This window comes from Homo sapiens, chromosome 9 (genome assembly GCF_000001405.40).
Source record: "Homo sapiens chromosome 9, GRCh38.p14 Primary Assembly".
Taxonomy (NCBI): Eukaryota; Metazoa; Chordata; class Mammalia; order Primates; family Hominidae; genus Homo; species Homo sapiens.
The window spans coordinates 35,252,241-35,271,071 of record NC_000009.12 but is presented as its reverse complement, the minus strand read 5'-3'; the positions used below and the strand labels follow the sequence as shown (position 1 = coordinate 35,271,071).

General features: G+C 38.7%; 1 protein-coding gene across 11 annotated transcripts in view; it reads right to left on the bottom strand.

Moving 5' to 3' along the window:
• The window catches only part of UNC13B (unc-13 homolog B), a 243,327-nt gene that overhangs the window by 134,264 nt on the left and 90,232 nt on the right, over window positions 1–18,831 (bottom strand). For all 11 annotated transcript variants that reach the window (NR_170667.1, NM_001387551.1, NM_001371189.2 and 8 more), the window contains exon 7: window positions 12,022–12,079. Coding sequence is in view for 10 of the 11 variants with exons in the window: in NM_001387551.1 (NP_001374480.1) it covers window positions 12,022–12,079 (58 nt within the window). In the remaining variant the exon portion in view is untranslated. The remainder of the gene's footprint in view (window positions 1–12,021; window positions 12,080–18,831) is intronic.

Below are 18,831 nucleotides of genomic sequence, written 5' to 3'. Positions count from 1 at the left end.
CACCTCCCAGGTTCAAGCCATTCTCCTGTCTCAGCCTCCTGAGTAGCTGAGACTACAGGTGTACACCACCACACCCAGCTAACTTTTGTATTTTTAGTAGAGATGGGGTTTCACCATGTTGGCCAGGATGGTCTCGATCTCCTGACCTCGTGATCCACCTGCCTCGGCCTCCCAGAGTGCTGGGATTACAGGCATGAGCCACCGTGCCTGGCCGAAAATGCCTTTTTAACAAATGGTCTTAGGACAACTGGAAATCCACATGCAAAAAGACGATCTTCACTCAAATCACACCACATACAAATGCAATGTGTGAACCTTGATTAACTTCTACAATGGTGCAAAAAGGACAAGAAAGTTTGGGGGAAAACTGGGGATATTTGAATATAGGATAGATACTGATGACATTATAAAATTTTGTTAAATTTTTGGTGTGCTGGTGGTTTTGTAATCTTATGTGAGTTTATATTCTAAGGTTAAAAAAAAACTTTCAAGAATCTTAAAGACTGTTGTCTTATTGTTGATAATAGCACTGGGTATATTAATCCTAAAATTTGTTTGTGTACATTACAGGACACAGCAAATGAATAAATAATTTGATGTTCTTGGGAACAGAGGTTCTCACTGGAAGATATACATGTATATGTGTGTGTATATACACATGTGTGTATATATGTGTATATATATGTGCATAATACACAAACACATACATACACACACACACACACACACACATATATATACATAGAGAGAGAGAGAATATATGAAAGGAGACCAGGAAAACCTTGTGATGAGGGTGTTAATTGGTGATACCAGTATGAAGAACATAGTGTGTTCCCTAGTTCCATCCAAAGAGCCAAGAAGCAAGAGCCCTCCTGTAGCAACGAGCAAAACTAGTGCCAAGATCTTGATTTTTAAATACCATTCCCCACTAAAAATAACCAGCCTCATTGGAGAAATGACTTATTCTAGGACTGAGAAGGCAAAGTACAAGATGAGCTTGGAATATTTTGTACTAAGGAAGGAAGGAAGTGGTCAAAGAATGATAGGGCCATGTCAAAAGGACACAGGATCTAGTTAAAAGGAACACCCATAGGCCAAATTCAGGACAATTTGAGCATCAAAGAAAATGGCAGAACAGGATTACAAAACACTGGGTTCAAAAAAAAAAATCATGTGTCCATAGTGATACTCATTTTAAAAGAGGGGTGGGGGTATGCGAAGAAGGAAAGCTCTTCTTTACAAAAGACTGACAACTGTTCAGTATAATAACAGTGTGACACAATAAGAAATAAATATTTGGTCTCTGCCTGCAGTTCTTGGCACAGAGCTTCTAAAACCCTTTTAACTCCTTGAGTGATAGGGATAAGACTGTCTTTTGTTATTCATAGTAAGCCCCTTTCAATCATACCTGAGTTAATGCTAATGTGATAACTCCTGGAGGATGGAGGCTAGTTGCCAAAAGAACCAACTTTGTGATTAGAGGGTTAGAACTTTCAGTCCCACCCCACAAACTCCAGGGAGAAAAGAGGGGCTGAAGGTTGAGCCAATTAATCATCAATGATCAATGATTTAACCAATCATACTTACATAATGATGTGTCCGTGAAAACCCCAGCCAAAGGGGTTTAGAGAGTTTCCACACTGGTGAACAAAAATGCACCCACAGGGAGAGTAGTGCACCCAAAACTCCACAGGGACAGAAGTTCCTGTGCTCAGACCCTTCTGGACTTCCTCCAATGTATCATTTCATCTGGCTATTTGTTTGTATCCTTTAAAATATCCTTTTAATCAATCGGTAATACCAAATTAACTGTTTTCCTGGGTTCTGTGAGCCATCCTAGCAAATTATTGAACCTGAGGAGGGGCTTGTGGGAACTCCAGTTTATAGCCAGTTGGTCAGAAGTTCAGGCAGTAACCTGGGATTTATGATTGGTCTCTAAAGTGGGAGGCAGTCTTGTGGGACTGAGCCCTTAACCTGTAGGGTCTGCACTAACTCCACATCTCTAGTGTCAGAATTAAGTCATGAGACACTCAGTTGATGTTAGCAGAGAATTGCTTGGTATGGAAAACATACTTGGTGTCAGAATTGTGCAAGTATAGAGAAACCATTTTTTCCTTTTAAAAAAGAATGACAGAATTAGAAAATCATCATTTTGCAACCACAGTGTAATAATAAATTTAGGCAATGATCATAATACATCCTAAAACTAATGCATGGAAGTTTATTTAAATAAAAGCAGTATACACACAGTCTCAAAGTATCACTGCCACTACACACTTAGTTACAAAGGAGAAAAATATCTTTGCAACAAAGAGATCTGGAAAACATCATCTGAACTAATAATTAACATCAGCATCACAAATAAAGGGACAAATTGACATCAGCTGTGCAGTAACCTGAATCTAATTACGAGGAAATAATCAGACAAATCCAGATTTTAGGAAATTTTTTCCGAGACAGAGTCTCGCTCTGTCGCCCAGGCTGGAGTACAGTGGTGCAATCTTGGCTCACCGCAACCTCCGTCTCACGGGTTCAAGCAATTCTTCTGCCTCAGCCTCCCGAGTAGCTAGGATTACAGGTGCCCGCCACCACACCTGGCTAATTTTTTGTATTTTTAGTATAGATGGGGTTTCACTGTGTTAGCCAGGATGGTCTCGATCTCTTGACCTCATGATCTGCCTGCCTCAGCCTCCCAAAGTGCTGGGATTACAGGCGTGAGCCACTGTGCCCAACCAGGAAATTTTGTTAAGACAATTTAACTAGATCCTTGTCAGCTGTCTTGTAGAATGTCTATGTCAATGTGGGACCCAGCAACCTTTGGGAGAGCAATTGTTGGTGAAGAGAGGTCACTCCTTCCCCTCTCCACCTCCTGGGGAGGGGAAAAACGAATGTTTTTCTGCTCTGAATCCAAGTGAGGAGGAGCTTCATAATTCACAAAGGTTAGGGATGCCTACAAGAATGGGAGTGGAGCCAGACAGGTTGGATGTCTGCTTGGACAGGAGACTTGCTGATGTGAACTGTGTACTTTTCTAAGCAGCCAAAAAGAACAGAGGAGGCAGAGCTGGGAGACAGAGAAGAGAATGGAACTGCTTGCCTATATCCTTTGTTTCTCAGGGCAAGAATAATTGAGTTCCCATGGGTCATGTGAATTCTGTGGAATGTGGGTGAGTCCCAGTTATCTTGATATTTCCCCATTCAAGAAGCCTCTAAGTAACAGGATACCAGCAGCAACAAGCTAAGTACATCTTTTGGTAGTAGTCAATAGCAGGACAAAAGAAGTTGAACCAGAGCAATCACTCACATAAGACCCCAGGGAGTCCCCAAAAGTAACCTTTGGAGACTCACACCTGCACCCCATTGAGAAAGCCAGCACTCACCTACACCTCAGAGGGCAGGAACAACCAAGCAATATCAGCCAGAGAGGCAACAACCACCAACAAAGAGATCAATATGTCTCCTAGGAAAACTAATGTTATCACTCTTAGAAGACATATTCATCCTTCAGTCTCAACCTAAGTCTTGCCCCTGTCCCATGAAGACTGCTCTGAATACTGACACAGCATGTGAATAAGATACTGCAGTGTTTCTGCACATGTAACCCAGAACTTAAAGCATAATAATTTTTAAAAAGACACTGCAGTGAAGTGACTGCCCATGGCATGGATGTGTCTTTGTGAACTGGCATTCATCAAGATAGTCCAGGTCTCCTCCAGTCCTTAGTCACTCGGACACAGAGAACACTTCTGAGAGAGACATTTCTTATTCCTGCCCAAGTGGTTCCAATAGGACCAGAGGCTCACTTTCCCACTTCTAGAAAGCCCAAGACTCATTTTGGAGCAAGTGCAACTTGGAGCATAGGAATCTCTTTGTGATGGTCCATCTGCCTAAGACACAACACCTAGCCATCCCCTCTTTGACTCCTGCTGCTTCACCAGTGCCCTAACACAGAAAGCAGACACAAGGTCCCAATGTATCTCCCCTGGTCACTTTCTTTCTTTCTCTCCTCATTCTCTTGCATTTCTCTCCTCTCATTCAAGTCAAAAGAAGCTCTTCTTAGAAATTGGGAGATTCAGGTGAAACTCTGCTCCCTCTCATAATATTTGTCCAGAACACTTTGCATACTCTCCTAAAATCTTAGGCTTTGGGAAGTTAAAACCACAAAGATCACTTCTTCTGCTCTCTGCCTTACCTTTCTTTCAAGAAATGGGCACAAGTCAGCCTAAATGCTAGAAATGGTAATAAAATGGGGGATAAAAAACAGATGGACATAATAAATCACAATAATTACCCTACAACATTTTAAAATAAATATATCAGTTACCAAATGAGACAAAAACTTCACAGGATAAAAGTGAATGCAGAATGTTGTTACTGAATGCTAAAAGAGAAAGGCTTGACCTGAGACAAAGGGGAAAAGCAGATAGTTTGCCTCAATACTTTTAAAGAATCCCATCACCTTTAAGAGTATATCCAAATAACTGGGGCTAGAGTAACTCCTTTTATTTTTTTACTTTTTAAACTTATTTATTTTTAAATAGAGACAGGGTCTCGCTATGTTGCCCAGGCTGGTTTCAAACTGCTGGCCTCAAGTGATTCTCCTGCCTTGGCCTCCCAAAGTGCTGGGATTACAGGCATGAGCCACCACTTCCAGCCACAGTAACTCTTGTATCAAAGGGAGAGTTTCTTTAGAGCAGTAGCCCAGTGATTTCTGAAAATACTTTGGAAACATCTTATAAATGGCCGCAGAGGATTGATCCTAACACACTGGGTAGTGGAGGGGCCATCCACATGAAGGAATCTGAGGACTAGGAAGTAATAGAGTCATATGATGTGCTACAGCTGGAAAAGTCCTAGAGATCATCTAGAACACCACCTCCATTTATTACTTCAAGAAACTGAAGTTAACAGTGGGATGACTTCCAAAGTCACAGAGAGAGAGCAGCAAACCCAGGTTAAGAACAAGGACTCAACTGGGCTTGGTGGCTCAACGCCTATAATCCCAGCACTTTTGGAGACCAAGCCAGGCAGATCACTTGAGGTCAGGAGTTCAAGACCAGCCTGGCCAACAAAAATACAAAAATTAGCCGGGTGTGATGACACATGACTGTGGTCCCAGCTACTCGGAGGCTGAGGCAGGAGAATCACTTGAACCAGGGAGACGGAGGTTGCCGTGAGCCAAGATCGTGTCACTGCACTCCAGTCTGGGTGACAGAGTGAGAGAGACTCCATCGCAAAAAAAGGAAAAAGAATGAACAAGAACTCAATTACTTTTCTTAATAATAACTTTGTTTTTAATTGTAGAGATGGGGGTCTCACTATGTTGCTTGGACTAGTCTTGAACTTCAGCCTTAAGCCATCCTCCCGCTGCAGCCTCCCAAAATGCTGAAATTACAAGCATGAGCCACTGTGCCTGGCCAATAATAACTTTTAACTATTAAAAAAAATTTAAGGCCACAATCCCATATCCTAGAGACAAATTTGGTTAATATTTTGATCATTCTTTTCCTAGTAATTTTTCTTATAATTGTATAGATGCATTTACATAGTGTATACATCTGCTCAGGCTGCCATAACAAAATACCATAGGCTGGGGAGCTTAAACAACAACAATTTATTTTCTCACAGTCTGAGGCTGGAAAGCCCAAGGTCAATGTTCCCATAAGGTTTGGTTTCTGGTGAACAGTCTCTTCCTGGCTTGCAGATGGTCACCTTTTTGCTGTGTCCTCACATGGTGGAGAGAGCAAGCTCTGGTGTCTCTTCTTCTTAAATGGGCCCCAGCCCTGTCAGATTAGGGCTCCATCCTTATGACCTCATTTAACTTTTATCACTTCCTCACAGGTCCTATGTCCAAATACAGTCAAACTGGGGACTAGGGCTTCAACATATGAATTTGGAGGGGACACAATCAAGTTCATACAATTCTGCCCCAGCCCCCCATAATTCATGTCTTTATCCACACAAGATACATTCATTCCATCCCAACAGCCCCAAGTCTTAACTCATTCAATTTCCACTTCAAAGTCTAAAGTCCCAAGTCTTATCTAATTATCATCTAAATAAGACGAGTGATCTTGAGTAAAGAGTCATCCTAAAGCGAAATGCATTTCCAGCTATAAACCTGCGAAACCAGACAAGTTATGTGCTTCCAAAATACAATCGTAGGGCAGACATAGGCTAGACATTCCCATTCCAAAAGAGAGAAACAGGGAAGAAAGGAAGGGGTGACAGGTCCTAAGCAAGTCCAAAGCCTACCAAGGTGAATTCCATTAGATCTAAGACTCAAGAATAATTCTCTTTGGCTTGATATATCTGCCTCCTTGGCTTTTCAGGAGCTGCCTCACTGTGATAAGCCTGCCCTCTTACATAATGAAGTAAATGACCTTGCCCCCAGGTCTGTGGTGAGGGGGGCAGCCCTGATGACCTCTGTCACCTTTGAGGGTAATTCTTTCCTTTCCCTGGAAAATAGCACAGATTCACAGTCAAATAGCTCTATGGTCCAGTCTTCTAGAACCTAAGAAGTCCAACAGTCTTTCTTCATTCATTTCTGTCCTCTTGCATTTTACTACAAGCAGTAAGGGAAAGCCACATCACATCTTCAAAACATTGCTTAGAAATTTCTTCTGCTAAATATGCAATTTAATTGCTCTCAGGTTCTACCTTCTACAAAACACTAGAACACAATTCAGCCAAGTTCTTTGCCACCTTATAACAAGGATCATCCTTCTTCCAGTTATTTCCTTATTATTATTATTAACTGCTTCTATCTGAGATCTCACAAAAATTGCCTTTAATATCTACACTCATACCAACATTCTGATCATGATTAATTACACATTCTCTAAGATGGAAGTTTTCTCTGTAGCTCTCCTCTTTTCTTTCTAAGCCCTCACCAGAATCACCTTTCATGTCCATATTTCTAACAATAACCCCTTCATGGAAATCTCAGTTTTTTCTAGCATGCACCTCAAAACTCTTCCAGCCTCTACCCATCACCCAGTTCCAAAGCTACTTGCAAATTTTTTGGTATTTGTTTCAGCAACAATCCACCTCTTAGTACCAAAATCTGCAGTAGTCTTCTTGGATTGCCTTAACGAAATCACTTAGACTGGGTGTCTTAAGTAACAGAAATTTATTTCTCACAGTTCTGGAGGCTAGAAAGTCCAAGATCAAGGGGCTGGCTAGCTGATTCAATTCCTGGTGAGGGCTTTCTTCCTGGCTTACAGATGGCTACCTTCTTACTGTGTCCTCACTTGGTAGGGATGGAGCTCTGCTATCTCTTCTTCTTATGAGGGCACCAGCCCTATCAGATTATGACCTCACTTAACCTTTATCACCTCCTCACAGGCCCTGTCTCCAAATATAATAATATTGAGTGTTGAGGCTTCAATATATAAATGGGGGGTAGACACAATTAAGTTCTCAGCAATAAGTCTTAAATTGCTTATGTATATATATACATAAACACACACACACACTGAGGGTTTTAAGTTGACCCTTAAATAACATAAGCTTGAACTGCATGAGTCCTCTTATGGATCTTTTTCAATGAGACAGATAGAAAATGCAGGATGTGAAACCTGCATATACAGAGGGCCAAGTTTTCATATAGGTGGGTTCCTCAGGGCCAAGTGAGGAATTTGAGTATGCACGGATTTTGGTACGTGCAGGGGTCCTGGAAGCAATCCCCCAAGTATACTGAGGGATAACTGTAATACTTTTTTTTTTTTTTACCAAGTTCCATGAAAATGTTCCTATTATTCAAAGCATGATTTTTAATAAATGCATAATATTCTATCTTAAGGACTATTATTTTTTACTGCTGTTTAACTATTAAGTCATTTTCAAATTTTGCTACTTAAATAATTCTGCAGTGAACATCTTTGCACATATATCTTTGTCTGCTGTGATGACTGAGGATAAATTTCCAGAAATTCAGCTGCTGAGTCAAAGCCTATTCCTATTCAAAGACTTGGTACATATTGCTAAACTGCTTCCCAGAAACCTGTAAGAAGGTATACCCCCATATGAATAGAGATTATAATTAGAATAAACTATTTTTGTAAATAAAAAAAGATCAATATCATAAATGACCAAAAAGGCAAAGTTTTGTTTTTGTATTGGTTTGGTTTGGTTTTTTTTGAGACAGGGTCTCACTCTGTTACCCAGGCTGGGGTGCAGTGGCATGATCACGGCTCACTGCAGCCTCAATCTCCCCAGGCTCAGGTGATCCTCCTGGCTCAGTCTCCCAAGTAGCTGGGACTACAGGTATGCACCACTATGCCTGACTAATTTTTGTATTTTTTTATAGAGATGATGTTTTGCCATGTTGCCCGGATTGGTCTAGAACTCCTGGGCTCAAGTGATCCACCCGTCTCCACCTTGCAGAGTCCTGGGATTACAGGTGTGAGCCACAGTGCGTGGCCAGATTTTTTTTTATTATATTAAAGAAGACTAGGCCAAGTGCGGTGGTTCATGTCTGTAATCCCAGCACTTTTGGAGGCTGAGGTGGGCGGATCACTGGAGGTCAGGAGTTCAAGAACAGCCTGGCCAACATAGTGAAACCCTGTCTCTACTAAAAATACAAAAAAATTAGCTGGGAGTGGTAGCATGGCCTGTAGTTCTAGCTACTCAGGAGGCTGAGGCAGGAGAATTGGTTGAACCCAGGAGGCAAAGCTTACAGCCAGCCAAGATCATGCCACTGCACTCCAGCCTGGATGATGGAGCAAGACTCCTTCTCAAGAAAGGAAAGAAAGAAAAAAGAGAAAAGTGAAAAGAGAAAAGGAAAAGAAAGGAAAAGGAAAAGGAAAGGAAAGGAAGGGAAAGGAAAGAAGGAAGGAGAGAGAAAGAAAAGAACAAAGAAAAGAAAAGGAATGAAGGAAAGAAGGTAGGTTAAAGAGACAGGACAATAAATGAAATGTATGGTTATTGATTAGATCATGGCGGGGGAAGGCTATGAAAGTATATCAAAGAGATATCTGCACTCCTATGTTTGTTGCAGCAATGTTCGCAATAGGCAAGATTTGAAAGCAGCCTAAGCTTCCATCAACAGATGAATGGAAAAGGAAAATGTAGTACATAAACACAATGTAGTACTATTTATCCATAAAAAAAAAGAATGAGATCCTGTCATTTGCAACAATATGGATGAAACTGGAGGACATTATGTTGTGTGAAATAAGCCAGGCACAGAAAGACAAACTTCACATGTTCTCACTCGTTTGTGGGAGCTAAAAATTAAAACAATTGAATTCATGGAGACAGAGAATAGAAGGATGATTAACAGAGGCTGGGAAGGGGAGTTAGGGGTAAGAGGAGATTAGGGACGGTTAATGCGTACAAAAATAGTTATCTAGAATGAGTAAGATCTAGTATTTGCTAGCACAATAGGGTGACTATGGTCAACAATAATTTATTACACATTTTTAAATAACTAAAAGAGTATAACTGGAATATTTGTAACACAAAGAAATGATAAATGCTTGAGGTGATGGATACCCCATTTACCTTGATGTGATTATTACATATTGTATGCCCGTATCAAAATACTCATGTATTCCATAAATACCTACTATGTACCCATAAAAATTAAAAAATAAATAAAATTTTTTAAAATATAAAAAAAGCTTTCAAAATATTTTTGGGGACAATTAGGGAGTTCTTAATATAGACTGTATTATAGACAATATTACTGTATCAGTCTTAAATTTCTTGATTGTGATCATGGTATTTCAGTTATGTTGACTTTCCTAGCTCTTAGCAGAAACACGCTGATGTGTTATAGCATGTGCAGCTTATATTCAAATGATTCAGAAAATACTTGTATTTTTGTGTATGTATGTATGGAGACAGAGATAAAGAAACATGAGAGAAAAATAAGAGGGGGATGAGGGAAAGAGCAAATCTGGCAAAATGCTTGTCACTGAACCTAGTAAAGGGTAATGAGCACTCTTGGTACTGTTCTTTCAACTTTTCTATAGGTTTAACATTTCTCAAAATAAAAATATACGAGGGAGCAGGCAAAAGACAAGAATGGCTTATTCACAGAAAAATAAAATAGCCTGTAAACATATGAAAAATGTATGGGAATAAAGTTGCTTGATTATTTAAGGTTTTTTATTTCCTCCTGCCCTCTTGGCATTTGCGCTTTAATCGCTTCAATTATATTTCATCAATGAGACCAGGAAGGAGTAGGAAGTAAAATCTCAATCTTTACATTTTGCTTCTCATTAGCAGTCGTGGAAAAAGGTTTAAAAGATTAAATCAATCACAATGAACTCATTACAATGAGTTTTGAAAAGGACCTGTAAACCTGAAAACCTGGTTTTGGATTCAGATTCTTCTGACCTCCTATGACCTTAAATGTTCGGTCCTAAACAGCAAAAAACAAAAGTTAGTAATAAATCATATGAAAAATAGGTTTTCTTTAAATAAAGAAAAAAAAGTTCACCTCTACCATTGGCCTTTACTTTTATCAGGAAAGTGGGCCTATAGAATGTACCAAATTGAAGGCAACCAACAGATTCACAAACCATGGACAAAGGTTTTCCTTTTCAGAAACAATATGAAGGAATCAATATAACACAGTGGTTCACACAGAGGTAGGAGCTACTAAGTCAGATTTTCTGTGTTTGAATATTTACTTCACCAGTTACTAGCTATGTGATTTGTGGCGAATTACTCAATCTATTTATGCTTCAGTTTCCTGCTCTCAAAAATGGGAACAACAGTAAAATCTGTCTTAGGGTTGTTGTGAAGTTTAAATAAATTAGAATACTTAAAGTCTCAGAATGGCATCTGGCATACTGTAAGACCTCAATAGTGTTAGCTGCTATGGTTTGTTTGTTTGTTTGTTTGTTTGTTTTGAAACAGGGTCTTGCTCTGTTGCCCAGGCTGCAGTGCAGTGGCACAATCATAGCTCACTACAGCCTCGATTTCCCAGGCTCAAGCCATCCTCCCACCTCAGCCTCCCAAGTATCTGGGACTACAGGCACATGCCATCACACTTGGTTTTTTTTTTTTTTTTTTTTTTTTTTGTAGAAATGAGGTATCTGTTTGTTGCCCAAACTGGTCTCAGACTCCTGGGCTCAAGAAATCCTCCTGCCTCAGCCTTCCAAAGTGCTGGGAACCATGCCCAGCCTACAGTTCTTATTATTACTAATATTACAACAACAAATGCTACAATCATTACCATCATCTTCAACTTGTAGTTGATGGAGTTTGGCATGAGATTCAGAAAAAACAGAGCAACACAAAAGTATCAAAATCCCCCCCCCCCGCATCCCCCTACACACACACACACACACACATATCACAGGTTGAAAAAGCGAAATAGATCAGACTCTAAGTCAGTCCTTTAGTGTCTCAAGCTGTTTTGAGGGAAACTGGGGAGAGGGTAACAATATACCAAAAACGTATGGCTCATTTCAATAATTAATCTGTGTGATCTTGACAAATCAATCTCAGGAGAAATAAGTCAATCATTTATCAAATTTTATTGAGGTATACTATGCATAGGTGTTGAGCCAAATGCAAAGAATATAAAATGGAACAATGTCTATGTCTTTTAAAACTTTGTGTTCATGTCAAAGAAATATATATATGTCATATGATGGATGTGCACACAGTAAAATGGAAGCACACAGGAGAGACCTAAGTTAGACTTGGGAGAAGGAGAAAACAGCACAAAGATTACCCAGAAGTGATGATATTTAAACTGAGCCTTAAAGAATAATAACAGGTAAACAGGGATAGAGGGGGTTAAATCATTCCTCCAGGGGTAGAAGCTAACAAATGTAGAAAAAAAGATGAGCCCTACTCCCCCCATACAAAACCGAAAAACGTCTCCCTAAAGCTAATAGATAGACAGCCATCAGAGAAAGGCGCCTGAACAGATGTGCTTCAGGAATATCTTCTGCTTACACACATGACATCTCCACCCTCCCCAGCTCAGAATAACCCATGTTCAGAGAAGCGACAGAAAGCTACAATTAAAAGAGATTCATAGACAAGTTTCTCACTTACAACACTGGGCGGCAGCAGTGGGCAATGGCTTCCTCTGGCTTTCTTCTTGACTAGAATACTAGAAGCAGAAAGGAGAAAATAAATAAATAAATACAATCAGAAGCCCAAGTAAAGACAGGGAAAAAAATCACAACTACCTATAAAAAGGTTTAGTGTTTGGAAACAAAATTTTTATTGAACAGAAACAGAACATCCTGCTCCTATTTTCTCTGTGTGATGTTGACATATAGGCCAGACTATTGGTTATGGCCCTGGCCAAGTGAGACAGGCTAAATAAAGCAGGATAATGAAGAACTGTCCTGACCAAGGGCACCTGGGCACCCACCTAGCTCTGCCAGGCAGCTGGAGAAGGTTTGGCCTTAGAATCCTTAGAATATTTCACAGCCCTCTGAGTTTTCCTGGGGCTAATGTATAGAAGATTTCCCCATTCAGGTGATGCAAGTGAAAACCTGTCTGGGGCTGTTTTCTCATTTTTAAGTAATAGTGCTTCTTTGCTCATAAGGTCACATGGGAAATAAGTGGAACTGCTTACCTAAGCATGTGGTGCAATATCTGGTATTTATAAGAGTTCCTCTCCCACTAGCACTGTAACCTCCGCCATCCCACCCACCACAACCACCACAAAAACAAGTACACGGTACTGAAGACATAAGACAATGTTCCATAAAAGGAAAAGAATTATGTCCAAATCTTGAGGATGGGCCCGATTTAGAAGGCAAAACAGAAAGAGAAAGGCACAAACAAATTAACAGGGGTACACAGAGTCTGGAAGACAGTGAGAATAGTCTGGTTCAGGGTCCATTGGATAATTAGAAAAATGTAACTCAGCCAGGCAACTTGCAAACATGAGATTTGGAGTTCTCATCCTGACGTGGTCACTTATTCATAAGCTATGAGATCTGAGGCAAGTCAATGCTTCTCTAAAACTGCCAATGAATGAGTTACTTATTAACTCAACAAATATTGATTGAGTATCCACTACGTGCAAGGCCTTGTTCTAGGCACTGGCAAAACAGAATTTGTAAATCATGGTAAGAATTCGAACTTTTCTAGTGTACTTAGAAGCCCTTTAGGGTTTTAAGCATGAGAGAATTATGATTTGATTATACTTTTAAAAGATCAATCTGGCTGCTGTATGAGATGAACTGTAGGGAACATGAGGGTAAATAATTATTGCAATAATCCAGACAAAAGTTGATGGTGTTGTACGTAACACTCTTATGAGTATCAGTGGTGAAGAGCATTTCAAATGGTTGGGATCCAAAATACAAAACACTTTTTGTATATAAAATATACTTTATAAGCAATAGAATATGGTACAAATGTCAGAGGTAGATACTGTTATTACTAATTTCCATGGAGAATAAGAAAAGTCAAGTACAATGTAAACAATATGATAGCACTAGCAAAATTGCCAATCACAAAAATGTTCAAAACATCTTTTTTTTTTTTTTTTTTTTTTTTTTTTTTGATACAGATTCTCACTCTTTCTCCCAGGCTGGAGTGCAGTGGAGCTATTTCGGCTCACTGCAACCTTCGCCTCCTGGGTTCAAACAATTCTTGTGCTTCAGCCTCCCGAGTAGCTGGGATTACAGGCGTGAGCCACCAAACATGGCTAATATTTATATTTTTTATAAATATTTATATAAATATTTTTATAAATATTTATATAAATATTTTATAAATATTTATATAAATATTTTTATAAATATTTATATAAATATTTTTATAAATATTTATATTTTTTATAAATATAAAAAATGGGGGTTTCACCACGTTGGCCAGGCTGGTTTTGAACTCCTGACCTCAGGTGATCCACCCGCCTCAGCCTCCCAAAGTGCTGGGATTACAGGTGTGAGCCACTGCACCCAGCCAGGTTCAAAACATCTTGAAGGTCAAAGATCCACTCCAAAGTAACAAAAGGACTTGGTTATAAATAATAGCCACTACAAATAATTATGATTTTTGTAGACAGTACATAGACATAACCATGAGGAATCCCAAAATTTTAAGTATTAAGAAGAATGCAGACCTAAGAGATCAGAGTAGATATTTTCAGAAGCTATATTTAATGAATCTCTCCCAGGCCCAAAACAGAAAGCTTAAGTCCAACTAGAGTATAATTAATAATGTTAAGACAGCTAAGAAAAAAGCTACAAAATCTGTCTACAAAAAACAGACAGGGATAGTAGAAGAAAGGAAAATTACAGGCCAATTTCATTTATGAATATAGAGACAAAAATCCTAATTAATAGATTACTAGGCCAAATCTATCATATTAAATAAGTGTGTGTAATATTCATATGTGAATATGTATGTATATGTGTGCACACATATGTGTGTTAGCATATAAATGTACATATAGCCTGTCCAGGTGGGTATTAAATGCTAGGCCAGTTCAATATCTGAAAATCTACTCATATAATTCACCATATTAAACAGATCAAAAGAGAAAAACTATGTGATCAAACAGATGCAGAAAAAGATGTGATAAAACCCCATACTTTTTCATGACAAAAATGCTTAAAAAATAAGAAAGAAAATAGAATTTCCTTAATCTGATAAAGAGTATCTACCAAAATCCATGGCAAACAGCATACTTTAAAACTTATAAAGCAGTCCCCTTACAGTCAGAAGACAGACAAGGCTCTCCACTCTTACAATGTTAAAAATTATACTAGATGTCTTAGGCATTGAATGTTTTAAATAAAAGGTCATGAGAAACAAGAAAAGTCTGAGAAAATACTACAACCAAGAGAAGCCTAAGGAGACATGACAACTAAGTGTAATGCAATATCCTGGATGAGATCCTGAAATAACAAAAAAGACTCAAGGTAAAAACTGAGGAAATCTGAATAAACTATGGAATTTTAGCTTTATTTTTTAGTTAATAAAATAAATAAAAAATACTCTTTAGTTAATAATAATGTACCAATATTAGTTCATTAACTGTAACAAATGTATCACACTAACAAAACTGCCTTTGCAAAAATCATAACTAAGGAAAGTATGACAGTGAAAGAAATCAGACCTAACCAGTTCCATCTTGCTTCTAACCATTAAGCTGTCCTTGTTCATTCCTGGGCATAGGCTGAACTAACTTCGGGAAGGAATTCAGTTCATGGTTTTGACTCTGAAACAAAATTGATAATAGCTATTTTCCAAAAAGACCCCCTTCTTGCCCGGGGACCAGTCTGCCTTTGCAGGACTAACAAATTAGCTACAAGATTAGAAATCACTTTAGGGGTCATGCAGCCTCTGGCTCCAAGAGTCTGAACCTCCCCAAATTGCTTCTGGGAATAACATCACTATTATAAAACCTAAGATCCGTGCTTGAGATATTTTGCAGACCCTGCACTAGATCAATCAGCTGACACCACCCATCTGGCCCAACCAGTTCTGCCATCCCACCCAGGAACAGAAGATAGCAAGAAAAACTCACTTCTACCTGCTATGATTCCATCTCCGACCTAACCAATCAGCATTCCCCACTTCCCAAACCCCTACCTGTCAAATTATCTTTAAAAACTCTGATGCCCGAATGCTCCAGGAGACTGATTTGAGTAATAATAAAACTGCAGTCTCCTGCACAGCTGGCTCTGAGTGAATTACTCTTTCTCCTCTGCAGTTCCCCTGTCTTCATAAATCAGCTCTGAATAGGCAGCACACAAGGTGAACCCGTTGGGCAGTTACACTAATGTAAGATGTTAATAATAAGGGAAACTATAAGATGGGGTGGGGGAGGGGATAAATATCTGCTCAATATTTCTATAAATCTAAAACGTCTAAAAAATGAAGTCTGTTAATAAAAATATATGCGTAAACAGGCCCAGCACAATGGCTCACGCCTGTAATCCCAGCACTTTGGGAGTCCAAGGCAGGCGGATCACTGGAGTGCCACTGCACTCCAGCCTGGGTGAAAGAGTAAGAATCTGTCTAAGAAAAAATATATATAATATATATATAATATATATATTATATTATACATAATATATATTATATTATATATAATATATATTATATTATATATACATATATTAATATATAATATAATATAATATATACATATATTAATATATAATATAATATATTATATTATATACATATATTAATATATATTATATTATATATGTATATTATATATTATATACGTATATTATATATAATATATATAAATAATGTATAAACAATTCAACACTTAGAAAAAGCGTAAGGACTAGGAGAATAAAAACTGTAATTTAAAGATGCAAAACCTAGTCGCACAGAAAATCTAAGGGAATCTTTAAAGTATCAGAACTATTAATAATAAGAGTTGATGAGTAAGATCAATACTTTAAAAAGATGAGCAGCAAAGCATTTACTTATAATAGTAATGTGATAACCAACTAGAAAATGTAATTTTTAGAATGTACCATTTGCAACAATTAGGGAAAAAAATCTAACAAAAGTAGTATAATACCTACATGGAGAAAAAATATACACCCCTCTGCTATAGTCTGAATGTTTGTATCCCACCACCCCTGCCCCCACCAAAAATTCACCTGTGTGATGGTACTAGGAGGTAGGGCCTTTGGGAGATGATTAGGTCATAAGGGTGGAGACTTCATGAATGGCATAAGCACCCTTACAAAAGAGGCTCCAGAGAGCATGCTTCCATCACATGAGAACACAGCAGGGTGCTGTCTATGAACCAGGAAATGGGCCCTCACCAGACAATGAATGTGCCAGTGCCTTGATTTTAGACTTCCCATCCTCCAGAACTATAAGAAATAAGTCTCTGTTGTTTATAAGCTATCCAGTTTGCATTGTTATAGCAATCCAAATAGACTAAGAAATCCCCTATAGCACTTCTCACCTTCTAATACTCAACTATATTTATTATATTTCTTGCTTACTGTCTGATTCTGCCTATGTGATCCATGAGGGTAGGGATCTTCAACCACTGATGTATATTAAACACAGAATAGTGCATGGTACCTGATGCGTAATAACTGATTTGGTGAATAAATGAATAAATCTCACCAATAAACAGGAAAATACAAATTAAAACAATTTCTATACTTGTTAGATTAACAAAAATTTAAAATCTGATAACATCAAGTATCAGTAAGGAAACAGTGAAACAGGAAAAGGGTAAATGTAAATTGGCACAATCACTTCAGAAAGCAATTTAGTAATATCTACTAAGGTTGAACAGAGCATATCCTACAACCAAGCAACTATCCTTCCAGATATACACCCAGAGACTCTGTCAAATACAAGCATAGAGAAACAGGTCCAGAAATGTTCACTGCAGCACGCATTTATAATAGTGAAAACCTAATTGCCCATGAGTAGGAAAAGTAATACAGTGTGGTACAATCCAACTCTGTAAAGTGGTAGGTGCCCAAATCAGTCTTGATTAGCACTTCTAGGCCCACGAGGTGTATGGGAAACGTTACACACTGTAGAATAAAAAAGTTAGACTCTATATTGTATTTTTAAAATGATTTTGCAGCAAGTATGATGAAATCTTAATAATTAGTGAATCTTAGGGGTAGGTATACACATGGGTTTCCTTTTATTATTCCTGTATTTGTATGTATACTTAAATTTTTTTCATGATAAAAATAGAAAAAGAGAAGAGAAAAAAGCCAACTTGAAGAAACTCCCATTAACCAAAGATGAGATCATTTTAGTATCAAAAAGAATGTCCAGCCTGGGCAACATAGCAAGACCCCACCTCCACAAAAAAATTAAAAACTAGCTAGGTGCGGTGATGTGTGCCTGTAGTCTCTGCTACTTGGGAAGCTGAACTGGGAGGATCACTTGAACCTAGATATTCCAGGATGTAGTGAGCTATGATTGTGCCATTGCACTCCAGCCTGGACAACAGAGCAAGACCCTGTCTCCAAAAAAGAATGATTGCAATGGGCTGAAATACATTATCAAATATACCCAAATTTATAAATACATAGTAATATTCCATTTAAAAAAGAAAATAACTTACTGGTCACCTTGAGAAGTTGCTGAGGCAACAGTTCATTATTCTAAAAATATAAAAGAGAATGTTTTTCTTATACAGACTATATTTCTGTGAACTGAATAGCTGGTAACAGAAAAAAAATTTTTTTTTTCTTTTGAGACAGAGTCTCGCTCTGTTGCCCAGGCTGGAGGGCAGTGGTGCAATCTCAGCTCACTGCAAGCTCCGCCTCCTGGGTTCACGCCAATCTCCTGCCTCAGCCTCCCAAGTAGCTGGGACTACAGGCACCTGCCAACACGCCCGGCTAATTTTTTGTATTTTTAGTAGAGACGGGGTTTCACTGTGTTAGCCAGGATGGTCTCGATCTCCTGACCTCGTGATCCGCCCGTCTCGGCCTCCCAAAGTGCTGGGATTGAGAAAATTTTTTTTATAGACAAATCATAGCTAATAAATGCTGAAGGGATAATATAATTAGACTATCAGACCAGCCACAGTGGCTTCCGCCTGAAATCCCAGCACTTTGGGAGGCCGAGGTGGGCAGATCACTTGAGGCCAGGAGTTTGAGACCAGCCTGGGCAACAAGGTGAAACCCTGTCACTATAAAAAAAATACAAAAATTAGCCAGGCATGGTAGTGCACGCCTGTAATCTCAGCTACTCAGGAGGCTGAGGAACTCAGGAGGCGGAGACTGCAGCACCACTGCACGCCAGCCTGGGTGACAAAGTAAGACTGTCTCAAATAAAAATAAATAAATAAAAGAAAGAAAGAAAATCATTTTTCAGACTCTAATAAAATAGTCATTATTATTTGCAGCTAAAACCATTAGATGAAAGGCTGATGGGAAAACA